Here is a 14,172-nt window from a genome sequence, read left to right as displayed (position 1 = left end):
GACCTCAGAGAATCCTCGCAGACGGGGGTCCGGGGAACGCAGCCTTGCCACCTTACAAGTTACCCACACGCAGGAGAAAATCTGCCCTCCCCAGGACAGGAGCCCCCCGCAACGGCGTCTGGGAAACGTTAGGTCCACTCTGCCAGCCACAAGGCCCCTGGAAGCAGCGTGGCCTGGGTGCAAAGCAGCCGACACCTCACCCGCGCCCCTGGGCCTCCTGAGGAAGAAAGCCCCAGGTCCCAGAGTGCCTGTGCGGCCCCTCATCTCCCTGCATGACAGCCCCTTTGGCTGTGACCTGGGGGAAAGAAATTGAATCCCATCATTTGGGACTTTCACTTAAAACTCAAAGTTCTGAGCTTTGGCTTTTAAATGGTGAGGGCAAGAAAATGCATTTTCACTTTAAAGTCTAGCAACTGTAATTGGCAAGGGCGTTTGACCTACAGACTTCTTCGATCAAGTAATACAGGAATGGAAGAGCCCCCCACGTTTGGGCCACTGTGTGTCACAGTCTTGCCGTCACCACGGCGGAGCTGCAATGCCGCGTGACTGTGCAGTGGACACCGCGTGGGGCCGCCGTGTGTCACAGTCTTGCCGTCACCACGGCGGAGCTGCAATGCCACGTGACTGTGCAGTGGACACCGCGTGGGGCCGCCGTGTGTCACAGGTCTTGCCATTGCCACGGCAGTGCTGCAATGCCATGTGACTGTGCAGTGGACACCGCGTGGGGCCGCCGTGTGTCACAGTCTTGCCAACGCCACGGCACAGCTGCAATGTCACGTGACCATGCAGCTGGACACCGCATGACCGTGCAGCTGGATACCACGTGGACGGCGGGTGGGAGGCATGAGTTCCAGCTTCGGCACAAAGGAGCTTTGCGTCAGTTTCATTAATCCTGGTGTAACCGCCCAGTGTGTTCACCTCGCCGGCTGCCTAGACACAGCCGATTTATCAAGACAGGGGAATTGCAAAGGAGAAGGAGTTACTCACGCAGAGCCAGCTGTGCGGGAGACCAGAGTTTTATTATTACTCAAAAGGGTCTCCCCGAGCATTTGGGGATCAGAGTTTTTAAAGATAATTTGGCAGGTAGGGGCTCAGAAAGTGGGGAATGCTGGTTGGTCCGTTTGGAGATGGATTCATAGGGGGTCAAAGTGAGTTTTTCTTGCTGTCTTCTGTTCCTGGGTGGGATGGCGGAACTGGTTGAGCCAGATGACTGGTCTAGGTGGTGTCAGCTGATCCATGAGTGCGGGGTCTGCAGAATATCCCCAGCACTGATCTCAGGTTTTACAATAGTGAGGTGATCCCCAGAAGCAATTTGGGGAGGTTCAGACTCTCACAGCCGGAGGCCACAAGACCCCTAAACCATAATTTCTAATCTTGCAGCTAATTTGTTAGTCCTACAAAGGCAGACTGGTCCTCAGGCAAGAAGGGGGTCTATTCGGGAAAGGGCTGTTACCAATTTTGTTTCAGAGTCAAACCATGAACTGAATTCCTTCCCAAAGTTAGTTCGGCCTACGCCCAGGGATGAATAAGGACAGCTTAAAGGTTAGAAGGAATATGGAGTCAGTTAGGTCTGATTTCTTTCACTGTCATCATTTCCTCAGTTATAATTTTTGCAAAGGCAGTTTCATGGGGGGTAAACCCAAACGGCCCCCTGCAGTCCTGGGAGTGGCTTCATGAAGGGGACCCCGACAGTTCTCCTCTCCCTAGGGGCGGCCCCCCAGCTCACCACAAGTGTGACCACGAGGCCCTTGGGTAGGGCAACAAAAGGCCAGGGAAGGTGGGGGTGTCCTCCCCAACTCCCGAGCCTCCTTCCACGTGGAGAAAACTGATTTCTCCAACCCCTGCCTCTCTCCCACCATTTGTCACCCACCCCCACGCAGGGAGGGATTGGCAAATCCAGGCGGGGTCTGCAGGGCAGGCTGAGCTCACTCTCCGCTGCCACCTGCAGGGGTGGCCTGCTCTGCTGAACAGGTGGGGGCTCCCTGGAGGCTGGCCTGGGCTGCGCCTTTGGGCAGGTGGCCCCTCCACTCTGGGGTTCAGGGAAGGCCCCCTTGGCCTTCACTCTGAGCCACGTCCTCCGACCAGCCTCCATTGGGAATAACGGGCAGCCTGGCATTACAGCCTCTGTGGGTCCCTCCTCTGGGCTAAAGTATTACGAATGATGTTTCATAACTGCGTTGGTAGAAAGATGACTGTAGCCCAGGCTGCACTGTGTTTATTCTGATTTTAGAAGGCATTAAACCACTTTCCTGATGCCTAAAAGTCTCCTGGGCCCTGGCACTAAGCCTGCTACACCCTGTGAAAGGAAAATCCATCTCAGGCCCCAAAATTACCAAGCCAAGGGAAGAGTCAAGCTGGGTACTGCTCAGGCAAACCTGCCTCCCAGTCCACTCCTGAATAAGATGGCTACAGAGACTAAAAAGCCACCACCTCCCTCAAAATTTGCCCAGAAGGAAATTCCTCGTAGACAAATGACAGACAGGACCCAAAGCCATCCCTCTGCTCCCCTGAGACAAATCCATATCTGATGGCTTCCTCTGCCCTATTGTTGATATAAAAATACAGATTCCCTGAGCCAGACTAAATTGTGTTTCAGTGGGAGGCCGATCAAGGTCTCGAAAGAATGCAACAGTTTGTCTCTTACCTACTTATGACCTGGAAGTCCCCCACCCCCGCAAGTTGTCAAGCTGCCCCGCCTTACCTGACCAAACAAACGTACATCTTACACATATTGATTGATGTCTCATGTCCCCCTAAAATGTATAAAAGAAAGCATGGTGGCTCATGCCTGTAATCCCAGCACTTTGGGAGACCGAGGTGGGTGGATGACGAGGTCAGGAGCTCGAGACCAGCCTGGCCAAGATGGTGAAACCCCGTCTCTACTAAAAATACAAAAACTTAGCCATGCATGGTACCATGCGCCTATAATCCTAGGTACTGGGGAGGCTGGGGCAGAGAATTGCTTGAACCCGGGAGATGGAGGTTGCAGTGAGCCGAGATCACACCACTGCACTCCAGCCTGAGCAACAGAATGAGACTCTATCTCAATAAAATAAAATAAAATAAAAATAAAAGCAAACTGTACCCTGACCACATTGGGCACATGTCGTCAAAACCTCCTGAGGCTGTGTCACACGCCCTTACTTCACCTTGGCAAAATAAGTGTTTTAAATTTATCGAGACCTGTCTCAGATACCCTTTGGTTTACAACCTGATGGAGGGGTTGGCATTGATAGAAGGGTTTTGTTTTTCCAGCACCTGCCTTCATGCCTTACTTCTCAGTGGGCTCAGGACTCAGAATGGAAAAGAGTCCCAGGAGACCCCAGTAACTCTTCAACTCTTTTACTCTCACTGTTTTCTCTCCTTTACAGCAGACACCACTATCTGCAAAGGGTCCTGTTTGCTGCCCCTGCCTGCCAGGAAGCACAGCCTAGATGGCAGTGTCCATGACTGTCCTGAGTAACCACTGGGTCCCCAGCATCTCAGCTTCACAGCTGTTCTGTAAAGACCTTCAGACGGAGGGACGAGGCGGGTGGGTGGGTGGATGGATGGATGGATGCATGGATGGGTGGGTGGGTGGATTGATGGATGGATGCATGGATGGGTGGATGGGTGGATAGGTGAGTGGGTGGGTGGATGGATGAGTGGGTGCATGGGCAGGTATGTGGATAGGTGGAAGTATGGGTAGATGGATGGGTGGATGGATGGGTCAATAGGTGGATGGGTGGGTGGGTGAATGGATGGATGGATGGATGGATGCATGGATGGATGGATGAGTGGATGGATGCATGAATGGATGGATGGATGGTGGATGGATGGGTGAGTAGGTGGATGGAGAGATGGGGGAATGGATGGATAGATGAACAAATAAGTGATGGATGGGTGGGTGTATGGATGGATGGGTGGGTGTATATATGGATGGGCGGGTGGATGGGTGGGTGGGTGGATGGGTGGGTGGGTGGATGGATGGATGTGTAGATGGGTGGATGGATAAGTGGATGGATGGGTGAATGGGTGGATAAGTAGATGAATGGGTGGGTGGAGAAATACATGAGTATGTGGATGAATAGGTTACAGAGTAAAATGCCACCACCAGAGCAGTGCAACAGCGTGCTTTGCACTCAGCTCTGCCATGGAAAAAGTGGTTCCTTCCCAGGCTCTCACCAGGCTCACATGGGCTCCAGACCCCTGCACCCCCAACCAGACTGGGGACACAGGGACTGTCTGCTCAGCTCTGCATCCATGCACCTGGTCAACACCAAGTGAGTCACAGGGAACCAGGTGGCCTGAGAGAAGGACCCATGACAGATGGCCTCAGCCATGTCACTAGGAGGCTTGGGTCCCAGTCCTGTGGCCCCACCAGCCAAGAGCTTGTGGACATTCAGAATCAGGCTTGCTGGTTTAAGCCCGGGCATGCAGCACCAAGACTGTCTGCCCATGGGCTCTCTGGGTCAGGCCCTGCCTGACTCAGTCCCTGCATCACCAGTGCCAGGCCAGGCACAGACAGGCTCAGTGGGGTGGGCTAAGTAGTGCTGGGGACCCAAACCAGGCATCAGAGGGATTGAGATGCCCCCAGGCTGACTCCCACTCAAGCGGGTCCCCCCGCCTCCCCCCGAGCCCATCCCCTCTGTCCACCTGCTGCCACTCTGACAGCTACAACCCACCAAGGCTTGGGGCTGCCTGGACTCTGCCTATAACTTCACAGGCTCACTCCCATGCTGTCCTTCACACCTGGAGAAGTGCCAAGGTTACCAGTGCCACAGAACAAACAGCTGCATGCACTCTGCACCCTGCTCAGCCATTGAGACAGCAGATCCTGTAGCTTTGGGCAGTTCCCACATCCTTCCAGTCCTGATCTTTCCCCTGGAAGCCAAGGAGCATTCAGTGCCTTCTCTACGTGCTCTTGGCCCCTGTCCACAACAAAGGCCACAGGTCCCTTGTTGTGGAACTATGAGTGAACCCAGCGTTCTCCCCAGGGACCCCAGCACAAAACGGGCTCTCAACACACATGAGTGAATAAAACTGTCCCAGAAAGCGGGAGACTTTACACAGTGGCTACAATGTCCCTAGTACACTGCCACAGTCCAGAAGGGAGAGAAGGGGCTGTGCACACCAGGAAGCCAGAAGCCCACATGCACCTGCCCAGGGTCTGTGCATGGAGCTCCGGCAGGTCCAATCTCTTGGCCTTCAGAATAATGATGTAAATACAGGGACAAAGATGGAGCAGGTGCCACTCAATGTGCAAACCCTCCCCCTTCTTCTGGTGAGGCCAGAAGTACCTAGGTAGGAGCAGCCCCTACCTCCGACCACCTCCCTCCCTGCAGTGGGAATAGCAGCCCAATCCCCAGGCTGCAGGGATCCACAGGCCATGCAAGTGTGGCTCTACCCCCAGCATGCCCTGGTGCGAAGCTGTGCCCAGAGAGATGTTATCTGCACCCCAGACTGCCTGTGGTGCTGCAGAGTGGTGCTGAGGAGAGAGCAGGGCACACCTGGAGTCTGTATCACCTGCCTTCCCTAGGGAGTCTTGGGCCCTCTCCACATTCAAGGCAAGGGGAGCAGAGGATCTCCACGAAGACCCCCTGAGCACATCCCTTCTCTTTTTGCTGATAGACAACCCAAGGCTTAAGGGGCTTTGGAACCAAGACATGGTCACTGACGTTAGAGGAATGGCTCGCTCTCCCTCCTGCATCCCTACCTGGTAAGGGGGGGCAATTGACCCTTTCCAAAGCACCCTGGTTGCTGTAGGAAGGAGAATGGAGACATCAGGCTGAGCCCACTGGCCTCCTTCAGCGCTCGGGCTCTCCCCTGCAGACAGCCTTCCTCAGCAGCCGCACAGCTCAGGGCTTCTCCTCCCTGGGTGCCAGTAAGCCCAGGTAAGCCTCTGGCTGCCCAGCAATTCCAATACCCAGAGGGAGGAGCCAACAGGGCAGGCCACGTTCTCACCAAGCCATCTGCAGAGGGGTCAGGTCCACCCTGAGTCCTCCCTTCTCAGTAACAAGCTGCTGCTGTGTTTTCCATTGTCCCACAGCTGATTTGTCAGTCAGTGCAATCACAGCGAGGACAAACACTAATGCCCCTCCTGAGACCTCTCTTCCAGCTGATGGTGTGGACCTTGACTCCACAGCAGGTGTCTGCAGGCCCTCCAGCTGGCCCTCGGTAGCCTGGAGTGGCTCGTCCTGGACAGACTCACCGCTATGACGCAGGGGGAACTGCCAGGAGTCCCTGAGCGAGGTGATCTGAGAAATGCCATGGCAGTGTTCTAAGCCAGCAGCCTGGCTTACCCACAACCTCTCCGCTGTGTGACCTTGAGCAAGTGCCTTAACCTCTCTGAGCCTCAGCTTGCCCCTCTGTTAAAGAATGATCATATATGACACCTAGCAAGGTTATGTGGAGTATCAGCAACAAGGAATCCACTGCAGCCAGTGTTGCAGGTGCAACTGGCTGGGGCTGGTGTCACGGGTGGTAAAAGAATTTACCGAGACAGTCATGGGTAAAGAAAGTCTGAAGACACCTTGCAAGAGAACAGCAGGCAGCATGGCAGAGAGAAGGCCACCTCCCCAGGGGCAGAGGCCAGGGGGAAGTTTGATAGGGTCACACTGGAGAGGCGACATGCAGACAGGGTCATGCTGGAGAGGCCACATGCAAACAGAGTCACGCTGGAGAGGCCACATGCAGACAGGGTCATGCTGGAGAGGCTACATGTGGAAACGGTCACACTGGAGAGGCGGCATGCAAACAGGGTCATGCTGGAGAGGCCACATGCAGACAGGGTCACGCTGGAGAGGCAACAGGCAGACAGGGTCACGCTGGAGAGGCCCCATGCAGACAGGGTCACGCTGGAGAGGCCCCATGCAGACAGGGTCATGCTGCTGGAGCTAACGTGCAGAGCTAGGTATTTGGTAACAGGAGATTGTGCAAGTGGGCTGCTTGTGGTTATCCATTTCTTAGAACAATGGCTCTCCCCCACCCTAGTTCATGTTCTTGCCAGCTAGGGCCTGTGGTGCCATGGAGTTGTGCAGAGGAGGGAACCCCTTCCTCATTTCTATCAGCTGATCGGGACTCCACAGTTTGGTTTCGCTGCATATGACAATCCCAGCAAAAGAAGCATAAACAAGAAAGAAGCTGATTTCTTTCTGAAGGGAGAATCTGGGGATGACTGATTGAGGGTGAGGTGGCAGCTCCTCGATGTCCTCAGGGACCCAGATCCTGGCTGTTCTGCTCCTCATCCTCCACGCATGGTGTCTAGCCTCAAAGCCACTCCATGGTCCAAGGTGGCTGCTGGTGCTCCAGCCATCAAGACCACAGGACAGGTGGAAGGAAGCTGGAAAAGTACAGGGCAGAAAAGAGCCCCTCCCAGAAGTCCCAGCTGAGTCAGCTTGTTTTTAGCCATCTTCCTGGAAGTCTTCTACAGCACTTCTGCCTTTAACCCACTGGCCACGACTTAGCAGCTCAGCTCCACTTAGCGTCAGGGAGGAAGCTGGGAGATGCAGGTTTTCATTCCGGCCAGCTACATGCCCCGCCACGCATCAGGGTTCTGCTTCCACGGAGGAAGGGAAGAGGACCATGTCTGTACAAGAGGAGCTAGACCCACGATAAACATGAGCCACGCTAATGTTGTCAGCATCCCCAGAACAGCCAGCAACACAGCCTTACATCACACCCAACCTCCCACCAGCCTCCAGCCCTGGGCAGCGTCCTCACTGCACCGCAGCCTAGAGAGGGAGCCAGGGTGCAAAAGGGACAGAAAGGGAGAGAACCGGAGGCCAGGCTGACCCGAGCAGCCAGGGACAGAGGACAGACCGGGGAGGCAGATGGGAGTTCAGGGCAAGGAAAGTCTTGGGGGCTGCCTGGGGCGGGGGGAGGGAGATGTGGGGGGCAGAGGTAGGGGTGAGCTGCATCTGGGAGGGAACATGCACCCTGTTCCTAAGGAGACCCTGAGAGGCTTAGGGGAGACGGTAGCATGCAACAGCACCTGCTGCTCCCCTCTGCAGGAGGCCGACTCCACGGAGGACCATGCTCTGGCAGAGGAACCCAAATACGCATTTCTCCCACACCTCAGCCTCTCCTGGCCCCAAGGCAGGTACAGGCTCAGAGCTGGGGAACCGGCTGGAGACTTTCCTCTTTTTGCTGACTCTGCCCTGGCATATTCTGAGATACAGGGGTCAAGACTTCAACATATGAATTTGGGGGTCACAGTTCAACCCAGCAAGCTATACAGATCTCAAGGGTGTCACTCAGGGAGTTGACAAAGGCAGACTCCACCAAGATAAGAACCTGACCACCCCCGAGATATGTGCTCATCAGTCCCCACTGCACCCCCTCCAGAGGCGACTTTTCATTGCAGATCAGCATGACCTGTTCTAGAGCTTCCTACAGGCAGAGTCAGGCCGCACTGGCCTGCCCCAGCTCTCAGAGGCCCGCCATCACTGTGCACCCACACACCACCAGCTGTAACCCATGCACAGGACCTCAAGGTGGGCCGGCTCAGCTGCCAACAGGAGCCAGTGGTGCTGAGGTATCCAACAGGGCAGCACATGGTCCTCCCAGGAGCCGTGGCCCAGCACCTCCTGGCCGGAACAGCCATCCTATTCAAATAAACGAGTAACAAAAATGGGCATGCTCTCCACTTCCAAAAGCAATGCTGGCCAGGCACAGTGGCTCACGCCTGAAATCCCAATGCCAGAGGCGTTGGAACCAGAGCAACTCCATCTTGAACAGGAGCTGGGTAAAATGAGGCTGAGACCTGCCGGGCTGCATTCCCAGGAGTTTAGGCATTCTAAGTCACAGGATGAGATAGGAGGTCGGCACAAGATACAGGTCATGAAGACCTTGCTGATAAAGCAGGTTGCAGTAAAGAAGCCGGCCAAAGCCCACCAAAACCAAGGCGGCCACGAGAGTGACCTCTGATTGTCCTCACGGATCATTATATGCCAATTAGAATGCATTTGCTGCTAAAAGACACCCCCACCAGCACCATGACAGTTTACAGATGCCATGGCAATGTCTGGAGGTTACCTTATAAGGTCTCAAAAGGGAGGGGAGGAGACCTCAGTTCCTCTTCATCCCTTTACTTTCCTGATAAACTTGCTCTCACTTTACTCTGTGAACTCGCTCCAAATTCTTTCTCGCGTGAGATCAAAGAGACCTCTCTTGGGGTCTGGATCAGAGCTCCCCCTTTTCCAGTAACACCAGCACTTTGTGGGAAAGACAGAGGCGGGAGGATTGAGTGAGGCCAGGAGTTTAAGATCAGCCTGGCCAACATAAGGAGACCTAAGTGCCTAACTTAAAAAAAAAAAAAAGGCCAGGCATGGTGGCTTACGCCTATAGTCCCAATACTTTGGGAGACCGAGGTGGGCAGATCACTTGAGCCCAGCAGTTCGAGACCAGCCTGGACAACATTGTGAAACCTTGTCTCTACAAAAAAAAAAAAAAATGAAGAAATTCCCAGGCACAATAGTGTGCACCTGTAGTCCCAGCTATTCAGAAGGCTGAGATGGGAGAATCGCTTGAGCCCAGGAGGTAGAAATTGCAGTGAGCTGAGATTGCGCCACTGCACTCCAGCCTGGGTGACAGAGGGAGACCCTCTCTCAAAAAAATAAAAAAAGAAACCCAGGCAGGCATGGTGGCACACACCTGTAGTCCCCAACTGCTCCAGAGGCAGAGCAGAATCGCTCGAGTGCAGGCTGTAGGTCAAGGCTCTAGTGAGTTACGATTGTGCAACCGCACTCCAGCCTGGGTCACAGAGCAAGCTGCAGTCTTAAAAAATAAAAATAAAAAATAAAAGCAGTGCTATTTTCCTACAAATGAAGAAATCTCATCAGACAAATACTGCCACAAACCAGATGAAAATCATGATCTAATATTCCAACAAGAACTTCAGCTCCGAAGGGATACTACAGCACAGAATAAGAACAGAGGAGAATAAGCACAGAATAAGAACACAGGGAAGAGGTGGCCAAACGGCAGCGGAGTCTGTGGTGGGAAATGACAGAATTCAGGAAGGAAACTGAAGAAAAAGAGAAAACCATTTCAGAAATGAAGAAATGAAGTTACAGGTAATACGAGAGCACAGACACCACGGAAATCACATAAAAAAAGGAAAAAGTGAGCAAATAGAAAGAAAGAGGAAAGAGATTAAAAAGGATTAGAGAGAAAGTGACTATAAAAGACCAGTAAAGGGCCGGGCGCGGTTGCTCCCGCCTGTAATCCCAGCTCTTTGGGAGGCAAGACAGTTGGATCACAAGGTCAGGAGTTCAAGACCAGCCTTGCCAAGATGGTGAAACCCCGTCTCTACTAAAAATACAAAAATTAGCCGGGCATGGTGATGTGTGCCTGTAATCCCAGCTACTCGGTAGGCTGAGGCAGGACTATCCCTTGAACCCAGGAGGCAGAGGTTGCAGTGAGCTGAGATTGTGCTATTACACTCCAGCCTGGCAACAGAGCGAGACTCTGTCTCAAAAAAAAAAAAAAAAAAGAAAAAAAAAAAAAGAAAAAACAGTAAAGGGGCTCCAGTGTACATATATGATAGGCAAAACTCTAACAGATCGGAACAAGTATTGACTGCTTGATTTATGTGAGAGGTGATCTCATATAAGCTAGCGTTGCCCAGGCTGGGCTTGAACTTCTGGCCTCCTGAGTAGCTGGGACCACAGGTGTGCACCACAGCACCTGCTGAACAAGGATTGAAACTATCATTCAAGACCTCTTTATTGAAATGCAGGCAGACTTGCGCCTGCCTGTGAAAGTGCATGCTGTATACTTGTGTGTGTTGGCCCAGAACAGTCAACACAAAACATGCCTTTGTAAAATCACTGGACTTTAAAGATAAAGAAATAATCCTTTAGGCAGCCAGACAGAAAGACCAAGTATCTTATAAAGCAAAGAAAACCAACTTGACATCAGACATCTCCAAAGTGACATTCAATACCAGAAGAAAAAAGAAGCAATGCCTCCTTATCTAGAATTTGTGGGTAGAATTCTGTCCCCCAAAAAGGTATGTTACACTTTGGGAAACTGAGGTAAGTGGATCACTTGAGATCAGGAGTTTGAGACCAGCCTGGCCAACATGGTGAAACCCTAGCTCTAATAAAAATACAAAAATTAGCCGGGCATGGTGGGGTGGGTGGGGGCGCCTGTAATTGTAGCTACTCGGAGGGCTGAGGCAAGAGAATTTCTTGAACCCAGGAGGTGGAGGTTGCAGTGAGCCGAGATCGCGCCACTGCACTCCAGCCTGCGCGACAGAGCAAGACTCTGTCTCAAAAAAATAATAAAAATTTTAAAAGATATGTTAAAGCCTCAACCCCTGGTACCTATGAATGCAACCTTTTTGGAAATAGGGCCTTTGCAGATATAATCAAGTGAAGACGCAGTCACACCTGATTGGAGTGGGCCCTGATTCAATACAACTTACCTCCTTATAAGAAGACAAAAAAGGCTGGGTGTGGTGGCTCATGCCTGTAATCCCAGCACTTTGGGAGGCCAAGGTGGGTGGAGCACTTGAGGTCAGGAGTTCGAGACCAGCCTGGCCAACATGGTGAAATCCCGTCTCTACTAAAAACACAAAAATTAGCCAGTTGTGGTGGCGGGCACTTGTAATCCCAGCTCTTTGGGAGGCTGAGGCAGGAGAATGGCATGAACCAGGGAGGCAGAGCTTGCAGTGAGTAGAGATCATGCCACTGCACTCCAGCCTGGGCGACGGGGCAAGACTCTGTCTCAAAAAAAATAAAAAATAAAAAATAGAAGATGATTCGGCTCATGATTCTGGAGGCTGGGAAGTCCAAGTTTCAGGGGCCGCATCTGGTGAGGGCCTTCCTGCTGTGTCATCACATGGCAGAAGGCATCACATGGCAAGAGAGTGTGAGAGAGTGAGAGAACACATACCCAGCCTCGAGGCCTTTTGTTACCTGCATGGATCATCCATGGATCATCCTAAACACCTCCCCTTAGGCCCTACCTCCCAACACTGTTGCATTGAGGACTGAGTTTCCAACACGTGTTTTTAGAGGGACACATTCAAATCACAGCTTCCCCCCTCCACCACCCATTTTAATCCTGGGCTTTGCCTGGCTCCAATTCCTCTCTTATGTAAAGCAATGGATCAGACACACAGCCTTGGGGGATCTGTGAGAACTGAAGGGACTGAGGCCTCTTTCACACAGAACCCCAAAACCCTCCCATGCCTCCAGGACCCCCAGCAGGGAAGAACCCCACCTAACTCAGGGCCCAATCAGAGGCAGGGCCAAGGGTTATCCCTGTCCTCAGACTGGTTTTCCCAGGCTAGGGTCTGAGAACCCCGAGCAGCCAGTCCTTCTTCCCATGGGATGCGACTGGGCAGGGCCAGTGAAGGAACCCAGAGGCATGTTAGTCAAAGCGGGTTTCAGGCTCTGGGTGAGGGGTCCTGCATGGTGAGAAGCTGGGCCCACCTCCCACAGAGCCCACAGAACAGACTCAAACTCAGACACCAACAAGAAGATGCCAAGGCTGGGGAGGGCAGGCCCAGCCCGCAGAGTTCCTGCAAGGACTCTTCCCTGGCTGTGGTCGGAGCAGCTACTCAGGAAATCCCTGGCAGCAGAGTGGGCACCCCCTCCGGGCACCAGGAGGAGAGGTGTGCAGAGGGGATTCCGGGTCAGCCATTGGGATTTGAGACTTGCCTGGACACCCACTTCCACTTCTCCCCCACCAGGCGTTTCTCCCATCAGGGAAGAGGAATGCTCAGATGGGCCCAGAGGCCATGCAGAAAGAAGGAGGCCTCCCCCAGGGCTGAGAAGGCAGTGATGGGAGGCCGGCCCCAGGCTTGGGGTGTGGGTGGTTTCAATTGGAAAACTTTTATAATAAAAAATTGGAAGAAAGAATGTAATTCCCTCTACAAAAATATGTCCTCGTGATGCCACGTACCCACCTACACCCACCTGACCCCAGGCACCTCCTTCCACAGCCAGCCACTGCAAAGGAGGCCAGGGAATGTGTCTTCCTGATGCCCACAAAGGAGACACAGAGCTGGAGGGCATGGGGACCCAAGGTTCCAGGCTTCAGAAGGGAAAGCATCCACAGCGATCCCACAGTAAGGACAGCCTCTGATGGCAGCCCCCACTGGCCAAACTACATCCCCCTGGGCAGAGTGCACCGGGCCTGGCTTCCCTCCATGCTGGTTCCAACTCACAGCTGGGGTGAGGCCAGGGCGAGGCCAGGTCCCCCCTTCACGGGGAAAGCTCCCTGGGTGCTTCCCTGGTCAGGGCTGTGCATTCTTGTCACCAGTCCCTCCCTGACCCCAGTGACTCTGGCTGGGCCTCCACCCCTGCCCAGACCCACCCCACTACAGAAGACCCTGACCTACCATTCACTCTTTTTTAAATATTTTATTTTTTCAGAGACAGGGTCTCACTGTGTTTCCCAGGCTAGAATATAGCGGCTGTTCACAGGCATGATCATAGCTCACTGCAGCCTGGAATCTCTGGCCTAAAGCAATCCTCCTGACTCAGCCTCCTGCGTAGCTACAGAGCCACAGGCCACGCCCAGCTCTCAGCATTCCCTCTTTTACTTTATTTATTTATTTATTTATTTATTTTGAGGTGGAGTTTCACTCTTGTCACCCAGGCTGGAGTGCAATGGTGGGATCTCAGCTCACTGCAACCTTTGCCTCCCGGATTCAAGTGATTCTCCTGCCTCAGCCTCCCCAGTAGCTGGGATTACAGGCACCCGCCACCACGTCCAGCTATTTTTTTATTTTTATTTTTTTTTTTAGTAGAGATGGGGTTTTGCCATTTAGGCCAGGCTGGTCTTGAACTCCTGACCTCAAGTGATCTGCCCACCTCAGCCTCCCAAAGTGCTGGGATTACAGGCATGAGCCACCATGCCTGGCTGGCTTTCCCTCTTGAGCACATGCATGTAGGCAGGAATCCCAGCCCCCTTTGCAGATGAGCAAACTGAGACACAGAGAGGTTCAGCCACCTGCGAAGGTTGCACAGCCAGGATCCACCGCCTTCTCGCAGCACCCACCCTCTTCCCAAGGAGTGCCCAGTTCAGCAAGGCAGATGACACCAATCCCAACTGGGCAGCCAGGTTTTATGAGGCCAGGACAAACAGCACTGATTTGAAGCCTTGTAGAGGGGTTCAAATCACAGGCCCTGCCACAGGCTGGCCTCAGGGTCCTGGGGGAGCTGTGGGCATGCTTCT

The 14,172-nt window shown here is 53.3% G+C and overlaps 1 annotated feature.

Moving 5' to 3' along the window:
• Window positions 184-701: an enhancer, noted in NCBI's record as "H3K4me1 hESC enhancer chr9:47184399-47184916 (GRCh37/hg19 assembly coordinates)". NCBI's record gives its function as "activates a minimal SCP1, AML or CMV promoter by ChIP-STARR-seq in naive H9 embryonic stem cells {active_cell/tissue: H9 hESC(naive)}" and the evidence as "EXISTENCE:reporter gene assay evidence [ECO:0000049][PMID:30033119]".

This window comes from Homo sapiens, chromosome 9, assembly GCF_000001405.40.
Source record: "Homo sapiens chromosome 9, GRCh38.p14 Primary Assembly".
Classification (NCBI taxonomy): domain Eukaryota; kingdom Metazoa; phylum Chordata; class Mammalia; order Primates; family Hominidae; genus Homo; species Homo sapiens.
This window is presented reverse-complemented; position numbering and strand designations above follow the sequence as displayed.